General features: G+C 45.0%; 5 annotated features.

The window, feature by feature from the left end:
• Positions 2,147-2,670: an enhancer, noted in NCBI's record as "H3K27ac hESC enhancer chr10:132845839-132846362 (GRCh37/hg19 assembly coordinates)". NCBI's record gives its function as "activates a minimal SCP1, AML or CMV promoter by ChIP-STARR-seq in naive H9 embryonic stem cells {active_cell/tissue: H9 hESC(naive)}" and the evidence as "EXISTENCE:reporter gene assay evidence [ECO:0000049][PMID:30033119]".
• Positions 3,193-3,715: an enhancer, noted in NCBI's record as "OCT4-NANOG-H3K27ac-H3K4me1 hESC enhancer chr10:132846885-132847407 (GRCh37/hg19 assembly coordinates)". NCBI's record gives its function as "activates a minimal SCP1, AML or CMV promoter by ChIP-STARR-seq in primed H9 embryonic stem cells {active_cell/tissue: H9 hESC(primed)}" and the evidence as "EXISTENCE:reporter gene assay evidence [ECO:0000049][PMID:30033119]".
• Positions 3,716-4,237: an enhancer, noted in NCBI's record as "OCT4-NANOG-H3K4me1 hESC enhancer chr10:132847408-132847929 (GRCh37/hg19 assembly coordinates)". NCBI's record gives its function as "activates a minimal SCP1, AML or CMV promoter by ChIP-STARR-seq in naive and primed H9 embryonic stem cells {active_cell/tissue: H9 hESC(naive and primed)}" and the evidence as "EXISTENCE:reporter gene assay evidence [ECO:0000049][PMID:30033119]".
• Positions 4,408-5,607: an enhancer, noted in NCBI's record as "BRD4-independent group 4 enhancer chr10:132848100-132849299 (GRCh37/hg19 assembly coordinates)". NCBI's record gives its function as "activates an origin of replication core promoter dependent on BRD2, P300/CBP, MED14 and CDK7 cofactors, and independent of BRD4, by STARR-seq in HCT116 cells {active_cell/tissue: HCT116}" and the evidence as "EXISTENCE:reporter gene assay evidence [ECO:0000049][PMID:35650434]".
• Positions 11,055-11,556: an enhancer, noted in NCBI's record as "H3K27ac hESC enhancer chr10:132854747-132855248 (GRCh37/hg19 assembly coordinates)". NCBI's record gives its function as "activates a minimal SCP1, AML or CMV promoter by ChIP-STARR-seq in naive H9 embryonic stem cells {active_cell/tissue: H9 hESC(naive)}" and the evidence as "EXISTENCE:reporter gene assay evidence [ECO:0000049][PMID:30033119]".

Genomic DNA, 14,901 nt, shown 5'->3' on the forward strand with positions numbered 1-14,901 from the left:
GAGGGAGACAGAGAGGGAGAGAAAGGGAGAAGAAAGGAGGAAGGGAGGAAGGAAGGGAGGAAGAAAGGTTAAGAAGGAAAGAAGGAAGCAGAGTAGGGGAGAGGGAGGAGGAAAGGAGGGAGAGGGGGAGGAGGAAAGGAGGAAGGGAGGAGGGTGGAGGGAGGAGGACTCTCCTTTGGACTTCCCATCCTTCAGCATCTCACTCTGGCATTCTGGAAGTTCAGCTTATAGATGAGAACTTTCTCCATGAGAAAAAATTCTATAGAAACCACTGTTAAATAAGGGAAACAGGGAGAATTTATAACATGTGCCTAGGAAAATAAAGCAAATTCTCTATTCTTTAACAAGCATACCTGTGTCTGCTGTGTGCCTGGCAGGTGCAGACTCTAGTGGTGAACGGCGGCCAAGGAGCTGCATCCCCCACCTCCATGTTGCCTAAATGCAAACAGAAGACACACACTTGAAGCGTTCAGTGTATCTTAAATTAATTAGGAATCTCATAAAATGATGGAAAGGGCCATAGGTTCTTCATAATGTTTTTTTACTTATTCAATAGTTTGCTATTAAACACCAAGATCAGTCATAGATTCGTCTCAAAACATCATGAAATCCAGATAAATCTGTATTCTTTCCCTATTTGCTTTAAGTCCCGTCCCAGCCTGGTTACACATCCAAGAGAAATGAATTTGACTCCAAACGCCTTACAGTGTAAAATAAATATTCATTGACAGCTTTCCTCGGGGCCTGTGAAGAGAAGTCCCATTATGTACCAAATAGCAAAATTGTCCCCCAGTTCCCACATTAATCTTCCTATGGTCCTGAACCATGGGAAGCTGTCTCAAAAGCCCCTTACACACACACACACACACACACGCACACACACACAGGCCACACACACGCACTCACACATGCACACACACAGTCCACACACGCACACATGCACACACACAGTCCACACATGCACAGACACACATATGCACACACGCACGCACACACACAGTCCACACACACACAGTCCACACACGCACAGACACACACATGCACACACATGCACGCACACACACATACACAGTCCTCTAAATAACAAACCGTCCCTCAATTGCTTCTCTCCTCTTTCTTCCCGCACTTTCTGGCTGACGCCTTGAACCCTTAAAGCACAGCCAGCCCCTGCCCTCATGGGGATACATCCTCACTCTGATTCCTGGGGTCTCCTGGGGAAGAAGGAGAAGGTAGGAGACAGGCAGAGCACACCTGGGATGTCACACCTGGAAGGGACCCATGTTCCAGGGCAGGATGGGCTTCCAGGATGCACCCCCAGAAGGCTGCCTTTTCCCCCTGAGGCTGGATCATCCCTCGGCTGGGGCAGAAGGTCACAGTGTGGCAGCCCTCCCTGTGTCCTGGGTGCCGAGTCTGACCCTTTCCCAATGCACAGCAGCCTCACTGACAAAAAGCCTCTTCTGGGTGAGCAGGAGGGCCAGGGAGAATTCTGGAGAAGAAAACCATAGAAGACATAGTTTATTACAACCAAGTAGGGATTGTGAAAACACATTTGCAAAATGATGACAGCAAGAGAAATGTGACAGAGTTGAGTCCATCTTGCTTCTGACCTACAAGCTGTCTTTGGTCCTTCCTCAGTGTAGGTCAGGCTAACTTTGGCAGGAATTTAGTTTAGTTAAACCTTAAAGCAAAGATGATAATAGCCCTTCCCAACCCTAAATTGCTTTTGTAAAACTAATGAAAGGCCACGAGGTTGGGATGATGAGAAGGGTGTGAATTCTGATAAGCTGTGCATAGTGTCTATAATCCCTTACTGCTCAGGGGCCATGTGGACAGAAGCCACAAGCTTCATGACTCTCCCCACTGCTCCATACATAACTTCACGCTTTTAGAACCTAAGATTGTTTTTTTTCCAGAGTTGCTTTTCAGACTTGACCCTACCTGGACTCATGACTTAGCTGATCCTGTGGTCCCACCCAAGGGTGGACTCAGCACATGAAGACTTTTTTTCTCACCCCATTGTTTCATCTCTAATCAATCAGCAGCACCCCTTCCCTAGCCCCCTGCCCAAAAAATTGTTCATAGAACCCAAACCTGTGAGCCTGCTGGGAGACTGATTTGGGTGATAACACCAGTTCTCCCACATGGGCTGGCCTGGCATCAATTACACTCTCCTGCAATGCCGCCTTCTTGGTTGATTGACTTTTCCTGTGCAGTGGGCAGGAAGTACCTGCTGGGCCATTACAATTGTGCTGCTGCAGGGCCCATGCCCGAGTCATTTACTAGAGCTGTAAAGACTCAGAACAAGTCCACTCAAGCCACTCAGCTGCCTCCAGGTGCTCCTCACCGCCTTCTTCTTGTGCATAATGCTATGATTGCGAGATTCATCCTGCACACCCATTTATTAGGGAAGAGGGAGCAGCGAGGAGCCTGCATATTATTTTATCAATCAGCATGTTACTTTATCAACAACCAGGCACAAGATCTACCCTTTACGGTGTGTCTGGAGAAAACAAAACGTAAATTCAATGGGTGTTGTCTTGAATCCTAGAGGTTTAGTTCAACCTACACGATGGTAGGTGCCTCACTTGAACTGGGGGCAGGGAGGACCTGGAGGACAGGACTGTCCGAGCGGTGGTGTCGATAGTGAGGGACCCTCCTCTCTAGGGCAAGACGTTTGTGTACAGATTATTTCCCTCTGGATACCTCTGGCCTTTATCAGTGTCTCCTTCATTCAACAAAAAGACTCCTGTAGATGCTGGAGATGAAGTGGAGAGAACAGACCTAGTCTTGACGTGTGGACTTCACACACCGCTGCAGGCATCAGCTAAGCCGTTGGATGCCAGCACTTTCTCACCCTGGGGAGGCCCCACCTTAAAATCACTGTGATGTGCTTTACACACATTTTATTATCTGATCTTACAGGTAATAGCTTGGGGAATGTGGCTCACATGCGGTGGGCAGGACCTACAGGTGTAGTGGGCAGAGCACACAGATGAGGCTGTCGGTTATTAGGTAAGAAAGCCAGGACAGCAGAACCAAGGGCCCTGGATCTGGCTGGACTCTGTTTATAACCTCGTCCCTGCAGGGTGCCATCCTGGCAGGTGTAGGAGATGCTTAGGGACACAGAGAGAGCCAGGACCCTCTGTGTCCTGAAGGAGCATCACTGGTGAGAGAGACATGAGAACAACTGCATTGAAAAGCAGAAAGTAAACGCCAAATGCGAGTCCACAGCACCTGGGAGATGCTGTCAACTCCCAAGTCACAGACTCTCAACCTTCTTCCAATTTCAGTCCCAGCAGTGGAGGACAGCGCCGGGAGCACTGCGGGAGGCTAAGGGCATTGCTGACAGCCGGGCAATAGCTGTTGGCCCGCCTACCCACAAGAACCCCTGAGCACCAGGGTGGTCTGCAACTTTGGAGTCACAGATGATTGAGGCTCAACATAAATGGGCAAGCCCAGCCTGTAGGGACCCGACACCTACGTGTACAACGTCTTGGAGCTGATCCCAGTCTCCGGCAAAGAGCAAATCAAAATATCCCCAATTACATTGTGGACATTGGCGATGATATTGGATACAATGCCAGTTGGGATATAATGAAGGCTGTGGGCTCCCTGCCAACCTCTGCTCAAAAGTGAAGACTCATTTCTACTTACAGAAAAGCAAGAACCCTTTAAGTTAAAAGGTAAATTAGCTTGCTCTGTTGGAAACACTGCCTCCTTGCTCAATGAGCTGATGAGAAGTGTTTCCGCTCACCCCTACTCCCTCCCAACAGGTGCAGTCAGTGCTGGAATCTCTTTAGCATCACAAAACCGGTAATGAGCCAGCCCCTCCTCCCACTGCACCCTGCAGAGCTACTCCACAGCACTGTCACCAGGAGGGGCACACTCCAATGGGCCCAGCAGGGAACAGAGGAAGCGCTGATTGGGGCCAATGACAATATTTTTCAATTACTCATTCCTTGTGCTTGGGTAACTCAGTCTAAGAGACCCCAGCGGGGGTGCCTTGTGCTGTCTGGGTGCCTGGTCCTCCTCTCCAGGCCTTGTCTGGTTCTTCTCCCAAACCATCTCCTAGTCTGATTCTTCAAAGCAGCACTTTACTGGTCAGTAGAACTTAAGCAATAGAAATACAATTCAATTTTATTTGTGATGTCATAATGCAAGCCACATAAATAATGTTTAAAAATATTTTCCAACAGCCACATTTTAAAAATGCAATAAGAAGCAGGTGATATTAATTTCAGTAACATTTTATTTAACTCAGTAGATCCAAAATATTTTTATTCCAACATATCATCAATATAAAAATTAGTAATAAAACAGTTTACTTTTTTTATACTAAGTCTTGTGAATCCAGGGTGCATTTCAAACTTATAGCAAATTGCAGTTTCAACTTGCCCCATTGCAAGGGCTCAGTAGCCTCACAGGTCTGAGAAATTGCTCTCCACAGTCATCTGCTCAAGACTTTGCAATGACGCATTCTTGCTTCTTTGGTGGAGAAGACAGTGGGTTGTGGAGTCACACCATATGGACCAAATCCTTCCCCACCTAACAAATGGGGGGGCCTGGAGAGAGAAATTTCACATTCCCAGGTTGGGTTTCCTCACCCATAAAAAGAATATGATACTGTCAGGCCTCTGAGCCCAAGCTAAGCCATCATAACCCCTGTGACCTGCACGTATACATCCAGATGGCCTGGAGCAACTGAAGAACCACAAAAGATGACATTCTACCATTATGATTTGTTCCTGCCCCACCCCTCTCTCCCTTTGCTGACTACCTTTTCGGACTCAGCCCGCCTGCACCCAGGTGATTAAAAAGTTTTATTGCTCACACAAAGCCTGTCTGGTGGTCTCTTCACATGGACGCACGTGACAAATACTAGTTCTTCCTTCATGGAGCTGATGTGTCAGGGAGCTGACGTGTCATGGAGCTGACGTGTCATGGAGCTTACCTCATGGGAAATCCTCAAATGAGTGCTCCCAAAGCCTACGGGGCAAGACAAGGACATGGTTCTCCCACGTTCTTGGTTTGTGGACATGACAGGAAGCCCCCTGAGGCCAGGGACTCCAGAACTCATCAGTCCTCCTGTGCCCTGACCACCCTCACATTCCTCTGCTCCTCCCCAACCCCAGTCATCCTTTCCACCTGCTGGTCTCATTCTCCACCAACGTCATCATTTCCATGTCTGCCCTCACCCCACTCCCTGACCTTTCTCTCCTCCTATTCCACCCCCACAATTTATCTTGCTGTCTTCTCATGAAGGAATTCACGTGACATCATGCTGACAAGGTCTTGAAGCATGCTGACAGAACCCTACATCTCACCTCTGTCTGTTGCCTCATTCTCCATGTGTTCCAGACCACAGGGTCTCGGGTTCCATGGCCTGGAAACTAATGCAGGGCCAAGCAGTTTTCCCAGACAAGGCTTTTATTTGGAGGCTTGTGCTTGAATGCAAGGGAGACAGTGGAGGTGCAAGAATACTCCAGCTGGTTCCACAAAAAGAGTCAGTGGGTTTTTTTTTTTAATTAGGCAAAGCGTGGGAATTGACATCAGGAGTAGGGTACACAGCTGGACTGGGGAGAGTCCCTGGGGGTAGGGCATGCGGGTCAGCATATCTGGTCACTGTGGTTTTCTTGAGTCATGGGTCACTTGGCCATCTGTCTGGCAGCAACAAGGCTGTGAATCAATCACGCTGCATTTCTTCCCAAGGTGGGACACTACACAACCTTGGTTCGAAGTTTGGATTTCCTCAGGCCAGTTTCTGGAATCTATTCAGTAAAAGGTATGGCGAAGCATTGTTAGAGCACGGAAGAACTATTGTTTTCTTTGTGCAACTAAAAACTTGGGGTCAGTGGTAGAGCGTCAGTGAGGTGCTTGTGTGGGTTTTGTGAAGAGAAGAAAAAAAGGAAAAAATATATCTGAAGGAGTAGTCACACCCCCTCCTACTATCTATCTCGTATGTCTTTTAAACACAGACACCTGTCCCTCCCAGGGGCTCCGAGGACTCTGGTGGATCCACATCATTAATTACTGAGTCTGAATGAATGATGTATACAGGGCGTGGCATGGTGGTGCCTATAAGCATTTACTGTTTAGGCACAAGCTGCTGGAGATAACATCTGGACCCAACATTTTAGTCACCATTGAGCACATAGAACCCACATGGCTGTGTCATTAGAGACAAAAATAGCAAAAGCCTGTTTGTGCAATTCTGCAGGACTGTCCTGGCACTGGCTGCCAGAGTTAGTACAGATCCCTGCAGGTCAAGGGCATGCCAGCTGCAAGTTCAGGGGTCCTCAGGCCACCCACACTTCTAACCAACTGGCTAAAACTGGAGGCTTCCCATGACCTTCTAAGGCATGATAATTCCCCAGAATGACTCACAGAACTCAGGTAAGTACTGTGCTTATGGTTACAGCTTAACATGAAAGAATACAAGCCAGGACCAGCCGGATGAAAAGGTGCATAGGGTGAGGGCTGAGAAGGTCCCAGGCATGGGGCTTCTGTGTCCTCTCCCGGTGGAATCAGGATGTGGCCCCTCCCAGCCCATTGATGAGTTCAACAACCAGGAAACTCCCCTGAGCCTCAACGTTCAGAGTTTGTATTGGGGTTCCATTACACAAGTGTGATTAGTTGAATCATTAATTAATCATTAACTGAGCTCAATCCAGCCATGACTAATTGAACTCAATCATCAGTTCCTGTCTCTTTTTTGAAAGCCAGGCTGAGATACCTTCGCTTAAAGCTCCAACCCTATCATCACATGCTGGCCTTTCCACCTTTGCCAGTCCCCATCCCAAGACCATCTGAGCCACTCAGTGGTCCAATCATAAATAACAAAGGTGTTGAAACTGCAATAGGTTTCTTGCCGAATGTGCAGCAAGTCAATACACGGAGACTCCAGGTTGCAGTGGAGAAAGAGGCTGAATCATAAGGCAGCCGGAGGAGGAGACAGGAGGAAACCTCAAATCCACCTCCCCAAGGAGTTTGGGGCTAGGGATTTTAAGGGGTTTGGACAAGTACTGGGCTAAGGTTTGGCTGGGCCCAGTGGCTTACACCTGTAATCCCAGTACTTTGCAAGGTCGAGGAGGGTAGATTGCTTGAGCCTAGGAGTTTGAGACCAGGCTTGGCTACAATGCAAAACCTGGTCTCTACAACAAATATGAAAAAGTAGCCTGATGTAGTGGTACAAACCTGTAGTCCCAGTTACTTGAGAAGCTGAGGCAGGAGAATCGCTTGAGCCCATGAGACGGAAGTTGCAGTGAGCTGAGATTGCATCACTGCATTCTGGCCTGGGTGACAAGACTAAAACCCTGTCCAAAAAAGAATAATAATAAAATACTGGGCCAAGATTGGAGATGGCTGATGGGTCAAAGAGTGCAGGGTGAAGTTGTGGAAGGTGGTGAGTGAACTGCAGTGTCCTGCTGATTTGGTTTCTCTGTGGGGGTCTTCAAACTGCCTGGTGTCAGCATTTTCTGCTGTAACTCAGGACCTGGAAAACGTCTTCAGCAATTCGTCTGAGGTCAGAAATCCTATCTACAGGAACAACGGAGCTGCAAATCAAGTCTGAAACAAAAGCCTTAGGATTCTAAGGTCAGGAGTCCTGTCTATAGAAACAGTGGGATGGAAAAGGCCAGGACCCAGTGCCACAGGACTTTTGGTTAGTAAACAGCTACAAGGGAGTGGGCCAAGGTGCAGTATAATTAATGCTTAATTATTTCTGTCTAGAACCCAGAATGCAATTTTCGTTAACCTGTGAGGAGGGTTTCAGTGTCTACATCTAACAGGACCCAAGAAATCTGAAAAACCAAATTCCTGGCCATGATGGGAAGGGAGGTGGACAGGCCTCGTTAATACCCACTTCCTCTGGAGCTTAGGCACAGCTGACCAGGATTAACTTTAAAGTAGAGAGCATAAGACTGACAGAGTCTCTGTGACAATAAGATACCAAATTTCAACCTGACTATAGCATCACGTGACAGATAGCAGGCTCCCAAGGAAATCAAAATATTTTATCCCCAAATCTATTTCTTTGGCATTTGAAATGGCCCTGCAGAGCCATCTCTTGTGGGAAATTTTCATCTGTAAAGAATCCCCTTCCCTTTCTAGGTCTTCTCCAGGTCCAGGAGAGATGGAACTAAGAGTCTGATACCTTTTAGTGTCTGAGACATTCCCCATCCATTCTCTCTGAAGCCTGCCACTTAGAGGCATCATCTACATAATGAGAATCTTGGCTTCCACAACCTCCCTTATTTTAACTCAAGCATTTCTTTCTACTGACTTCTTAAGTCTTTATACAAAGCTTACTTCTTTCAACCAACTGCTAGTAAGAAAATCTATGAATCCACCTAGGACCTCAAAGTCCCTCCCTCTTCTAGATATCCCTCCTTTCTGGGCCAAATCAAAGTACACCTTGCATGTAGTGATTGATGTCTTTGTAACTTCCTTCTGCCTAAAATGTATAAAACCAAGTTGTAACCTAACCACCTTGGGTACACATTCCCAGGACCTCTTGAGACTATACCCTGGGCCACGGTCATTCATCATTGGCTGAGAATAAAACTCTTTAAATATTTTACAGAGTTTGACGTTCTCACCAACACTAGTAAATCGCAAATTATTAAGTTCTCAGTTCTCTCTAAATTCATGAAATAAAACTTACACACAGGTATGCACATTTTAGTGTTTATTATTAACAGTAATATTCCCAAAGTCTTTAAGAGAATGTAGTTCCCCTAAGTAACAGAAGATAATGTTGCACCCCTTTATGCAAATAAAAATAAGGAAAAGTTGTAATTCAGACATACATGTGTGTACAACAAAAGTCTTGTATAGAAAATTCTAATAATGAATATATTTTTGAGTCTAAAAACATTTCTCCCCCACGTTGTAAATAAACATCTAGCAAATAAACATCACAACTACAGATAAATAAGATTGTGCTCCCATAAATATCTGGTGAGGTTATGAGTCAAATGGTTCCTATTATTACTTCATTTCACTGTGATCACATTACGAGAAAAGCAAAGGAAGAAAGAATTGGTGTAGGACACCCGCAGGGTTCTTTCCTCTCAGAACGACTGCAGTTTAGAGTCTTATTTTTCCTGTTAGATGGAAAGTTGGATCAAAAATACTCTATAACCTGGAGTCTTTCTGGCAAGTTAGGAAGTTCTAAACTTTATGTGTTTTGATGATTATAATTAACATGTGAACTGTCTTTCAAATTTCCTCCTGAATATCCTTTATATTTGTCCTAAGGCTTCAGTCAAATAATTTTCAGTACAAAACACTAGATTTTCCAGCTTCTGTGACACAGCCTCTCTCTGTTTACAATGTTTGCTTCTGAGAGAAAATAAATGTCACCTTCTCGAGGCTCCAGTTTACTTGAGTTCCATTTCAAAGGATGTTTTTCTTGGTGTATGAATATCATTCAAAACAGGAAAACAGGAGGTTTTTTTCCTGAGGTCTCCTAGGGGTATACACACTTATCTGTAAGTTTTACAGAATGCAATGTCAAATAATCTCATTAATGTATGGTATCTTCTCCATGCATGGGATGGTACAGTACAGAATTGGGTAAAATAACAATTATTGTTGTCATGTTATAGCCTCTATAAACTTTATGATCAGTGATAGGAATTTTAAAAAATTATTTTTGCTGTTATTGATGTTTTTCTTTGACATTTCTTGTAACATAATTGAAGTGAACAAAGAGAGGATAACACAAGTGAAAGTGTTTGTTGAATTTACTCCTATCCCTTGTGTAATGGTGGTCAAAAGGGCACAGTGCTTTGGTTAAGGTTGCTGACTATCGACACATCAAGCAGCAATTTTCTTCCATGAATCTGCATAAATCCATTGGGGAATATGGCCCTGTTCCAGGAATATTGCTTTTTTTGAAAACCCTATAACTTAAAGAAAATTCAGATTAAGTTCCTGGCAAAATTCTTGTCTGGAAACATCCTGCAGGGCTGAGCATCTCAAGCCAAGTCAAAGCAGCCACCTAAAAGCAGGAAAACGTTGCAAAACCTGGGGTCTTAGGAGGAAGCTCTGGACTCACGGCTTCGACAGGAGCTGGGTAAGGGAAGTATTCCTCTCTTAAGTGAGGCAGTGTTTTCTAGAATCACTGACATTTCACATGCTTGTGCAAGCAGGTCATGCAACCAGGTGACTCTCCTGGTATCTCTTCATGCAGCCAGCACCTGCTTCCCGCCAAGTTCCCTTCCGCCATCATGGAATCCATAAGCTCATAAGCTTGCTGTCCTTCTCTTCCTTCTTTTTTAAACTTCAAAGGCAGTCCACAGCTTTATAATTGTGGAAAGTTTCTTTTCTGAGAATAACTTTGACTATAAAAGAATATTAGTATTCGATACGCAGAGCCCACGCTTCCTCGTCTGGCAACCCATATGGCTTCGCTGCTTTGGTGTAAAAAGAAGACCTACCAGCCATCATATTTCCTTGCATTTGCTATCAGATTATGCTCAGACTGTCGTCAATAACCTGGAAAACGTCTCGTCTCTGACTGTGGAATTTATCAAATTCATGAGAGACAGTCTTGAATTACTGCCTTTCAACAGATTTTTGTCATGAAATGAAAGTGGAATATAAGATTTTTCTCCACAGAAATTCTCTTGCTTTTTAGTGAGTAAGTTCTTAAGTGTTTGCTTGAACTTCATACATGAACTTCACGTTGGGGAAAAAAAAGAGGAACTTGTTCTGGGAACAATTTGACAGGGAAGAGGTTAAGTCCTGGCCTGGCTCTCCTGCTGAATTTCCTGGCATCAGGTGGGTCGTCTGGTGAATTTTCTGGTATCGGGTGAGTCACCTGGTGAATTTGCCGGCATGAGTGGGTCATCTGGTGAATTTCCTGGCATCAGGTAGGTCGCCTGGTGAATTCTCTGGCATTGGGTGAGTCGCCTGGTGAATTCGCCAGCATCAGATGGGTCGTCTGGTGAATTTTCTGGTATCGGGTGAGTCACCTGGTGAATTTGATGGCATCAGGTGAGCTAAGCAATGTGCTCACAGACTGCACCATTCCACGCTGGCGTGACTGAGACGCCCTCTGTGGAAGAGGCTCATCCTGCCCCAGAAAGTCCAGGGCTGCCTCTAATGTGCTTCCTCAGGCAAAAGTCCAGGGACAAATTCTGAACATCCTCTTTAAGAAGGACTCTGGGACTCCCGCTTACAGAGAGATGAAGTAGTCTACTTTTCCCTGTTCATGCCACTGAGTACAAGCAGAAGCCTGCACTTATTGTATTACAGACAGAAGGAAAGCAGCGAGAAGAAGGCAGGTGACCTGCAGGCTTTGGGACCTGGGGAGCAACACGGACGTACATTCCCTGTGCTTTCTTTCTGCCTCACACCTCCCAGATGGGGAACTGGAGAAGCCAGCAACCTGGAAGTGCCAGCAGGACAGAAAACAACTCCTCAGCCGGAGCTTGCTCTTTTGCACCAAAGGATCAGGAAAAAGCAGCTGACCAAGACCCAGGAACCACCTCGATCCTTCCTATGCAGGGTCAGGTGAGGGGTCCACCCTTCACCCTTACCAGGCTGCTGCGAGGCACCCCAGCCTCCCACTGTGATGGTGTCAGAGAAGGCTAAGCTGAGACCGGGGACTTTCGTCTCCGGCAGATATAGGTAATATCGCCTTCCTCACCCAGGAGTGCTGTCAGGGGAGACCATGGCTGGACTTCCACCACCCTCCCCAGCAGCAGGAGGGTGACACTCCCTGCCCTCCAGCACTGCGTAGTATCCGTGGAGGACTAATGGAGAATAAAGACTTTTGCTGTTGCCCGGAGATGACCAGGCCACCCCCATGTCCTGTATTGTCTGTGGAGGTCACATGCGGCCAGTAAGGAGGAATGTCCTGCCTCTCCCAGGCATCGGGGTATCAATGGGCACCCCAATGAGGAGCCAGGATTGCTATCCTCACCTATGCTGTAATAAAGGCCCCCCTGTGTGTATTGATGGAGCTCAAGTGGAAAGATGGATTATACCCTCACTGAACAGTACCAAAGTGTCTTCTCCTTCACCTGCTGGAGGGATGCCAGCTAAAATCAGCCAAAACAGAAGATTCAGATTATACACAGAATCTCATAATACCCCCGAATGACCAGATTGCAATAGAAAAATCACTCATAGGAGGAAAGCAGAATATTTCAAAGCAAATTAAAACACAAAATCAGTAGATGTTGAAATTGAGATGACAGTGATGTTAGAATTATCTGACAAAGATTTTAAGTCAGCCATCACTCATAAATGTGTTTCCATTTATGCAATTGTGGACAGATTTAAGCAAATGAAAAAAAAAAAAAAAAAAAAAAACAACCCAGAAAGTTGCAGGAAATAAATGGCAGATTTATAGAGGAAACAAAAAGAAATGTTAGGGCTAAAACATACAATAACAAAATGAAACACTAAACTACAGAATGGGGGGCAGAGGGAATCATCAGATGATACTGCACCTGGAAGACTGTTTGCCACTTGAATATAGAACAATAAAATTAGCCAATTTAAATAATAGTCAGAAAATAGACCAAAAATATGAACAGAGCTTCAGGGATGTAGAACAATAAAATTACTCAATCTAAATTATAGTCAGAAAATACACACACACACACACACAAAATGAACAGAGCTTCAGGGCCTGTAGGACAATAAGAAAAGTTCTACCATTTGTGTCAACAGTCCTGGAAGAGAAGAAGGGAGAGGGTGAGTGGGGAAAGTACACAAAGAAAGAGTGTCTGAACACTTCCCAAATTTGGCAAAGGACAAAACTATAGACTCAAGAAGCTGAGCGAATCTTAAACGGGATAAATGGAAAGAAATCCACATTAAGACACATCATAGTTAAACTTATGAAAAGCACATATCATAGTAAATGTGTAAAGACTAGAGACAACAAAAATATTTTAAAAGCAGCAAGAGAGCCAGACACGGTGGCTCACACCTGTAATCCCAGCATTCTGAGAGGCAGAGGCAGGTGGATCACCTGAGGTCAGGAGTTCAAGACCAGCCTGGCCAACACGGTAAAACCCCATCTCTACTAAAAATACAAAAATTAGCAGAGTCTTCATCAGAAGCCATAAGGCCCTAAGGAAATGGTTGGACAGTTTTCAAGCACTGAATGGAAAGAAACATCAACCCAGCATCCTATACCCAGCAAAATATATCCTTCAGGAATGAAGAGAAAATTAGAGCGTTCGAAGATGATAGAAAACTAAGAGAAAGTATTGCCAATAGATTCCTTCAAAATAATGGCTAAAGGAATGGTTAAAACCTTCAAAATAATGGTTAAAGACAAACAGTAAGCAATAGAAGAAGGAACCTTGGGACACTAGGAAAGAAGATAGTGTGGTCAGCAAGAACAAAGCAAATACAATAGACTGCTCAGCAGCTTCTTAAACAAAACATAACTACACATTTAATTGCTGTATGATACAGTGCACCCTCGGACATTCATCCCAGAGAGGTGAAAATTATGTTCACATAAAACCCTGTACATGAATAGCCACAATAACTTCACTAGTAATGGCCCTCAACTGAAACCACTCAAATGTCCTTCAATGGATGTGTGGTTAAACTCACCGTGGTAAATCCATATCATGGAATACTATGCAGCAATGCAAAGGAATAAATTTGTGTGATTTTTTTTTTTTTTGAGATGAGGTCTTGCTCTGTCATCCAGGCTGGAGTGCAGTGGCACAACCATATCTCACGGTAACCTTGAACTCCTGGGCTCAAGGGGTCCTCCTGCTTCAGCCTGCCAAATATCTAGGAGTAGGGCAATGTGTGCCACCATGCCCAGCTAATTTTTTAAAACAATGTTTCATACAGACAGGGTCTCGCTATGTTACCCAGGCTGTTCTCAAAGTCTTGGCCTCAATGGATCCTCCCACCTCAGCTTCCCACTGTGCTGAGATTCTAGACATAAGCTATGGCACTTGGCCCAGGAAAAAATTATTGATACATACAACGACCTCAATGGATCTTCAGGGAATAATGCTCAGGGGAAAAAAAGCCAGTCCCCAGAGGCTACATATGGTATGATTCCACTTATACTTAAAATGCTAAAATTCTAGGTTATTGATTGCCAGGGGCTGAGGAGGGGTGGGAATGAGCGGATGGGCCTGGCTGCATCACAGTGTCTGGAGCTGCATCCTGTGGAGATGAAACTCTTCTGTGTCTCGGCTCCATCAACATCCATGTCCTGGTTGTGATCCATATTACAGTTTTGTAAGATGTTACCATTGAGAGAAACAGGGTAATGAACACACAGGACCTCTCAGTATTATATCTTAAAATTGCGTGTGAATCTACAACCATCCCAAAATAAAAGATTTTGTTAAAATTTCAAAAATAGAAGAAAAAAGAAAAGAAATCTGCAGATACCCAGAAACTCTGCAAGCTCCTGTGATGGTCAGTTTGCTGAGATGGCATCATACTGAAGTGTGTGTTTCTAAGCTGTTGATTTCTGGCAGGGTGTCAGTGAGAAGAACTTATCAGTGATGCCCTTACTGACATAAGAACAAAGAAAACAACTGGACCCATGCTGAACTCAGAGAACTCTCTAGCTCCTAGATTAAAATAGACTCCTGCCTGGCAAATCAAATTCTAAAAGCTCTAAGTCTATCGCAAATGGAAATTTTTGCAAATCAGCATTTTCAACATTTACTGCCACAAAAGGAAAGGCAAGATCAATTGGATGTCAAAGGTGCCTGGTGGCCAAGGCTGAGCACCCCGGACTTTCGCCTCCCGGTTCAGCCCAGTCTAGGAGCCTCCTCACGCGCATTTTCTTTTTTTTTTTTTTCTTTTTTTTTTTTTTCTTTTTTTTTTTTTCTTTTTTTTTGAGACGGAGTCTCGCTCTGTCGCCCAGGCTGGAGTGCAGTGGCGGGATCTCGG

This window comes from Homo sapiens, chromosome 10 (assembly GCF_000001405.40).
Source record: "Homo sapiens chromosome 10, GRCh38.p14 Primary Assembly".
NCBI lineage: Eukaryota > Metazoa > Chordata > Mammalia > Primates > Hominidae > Homo > Homo sapiens.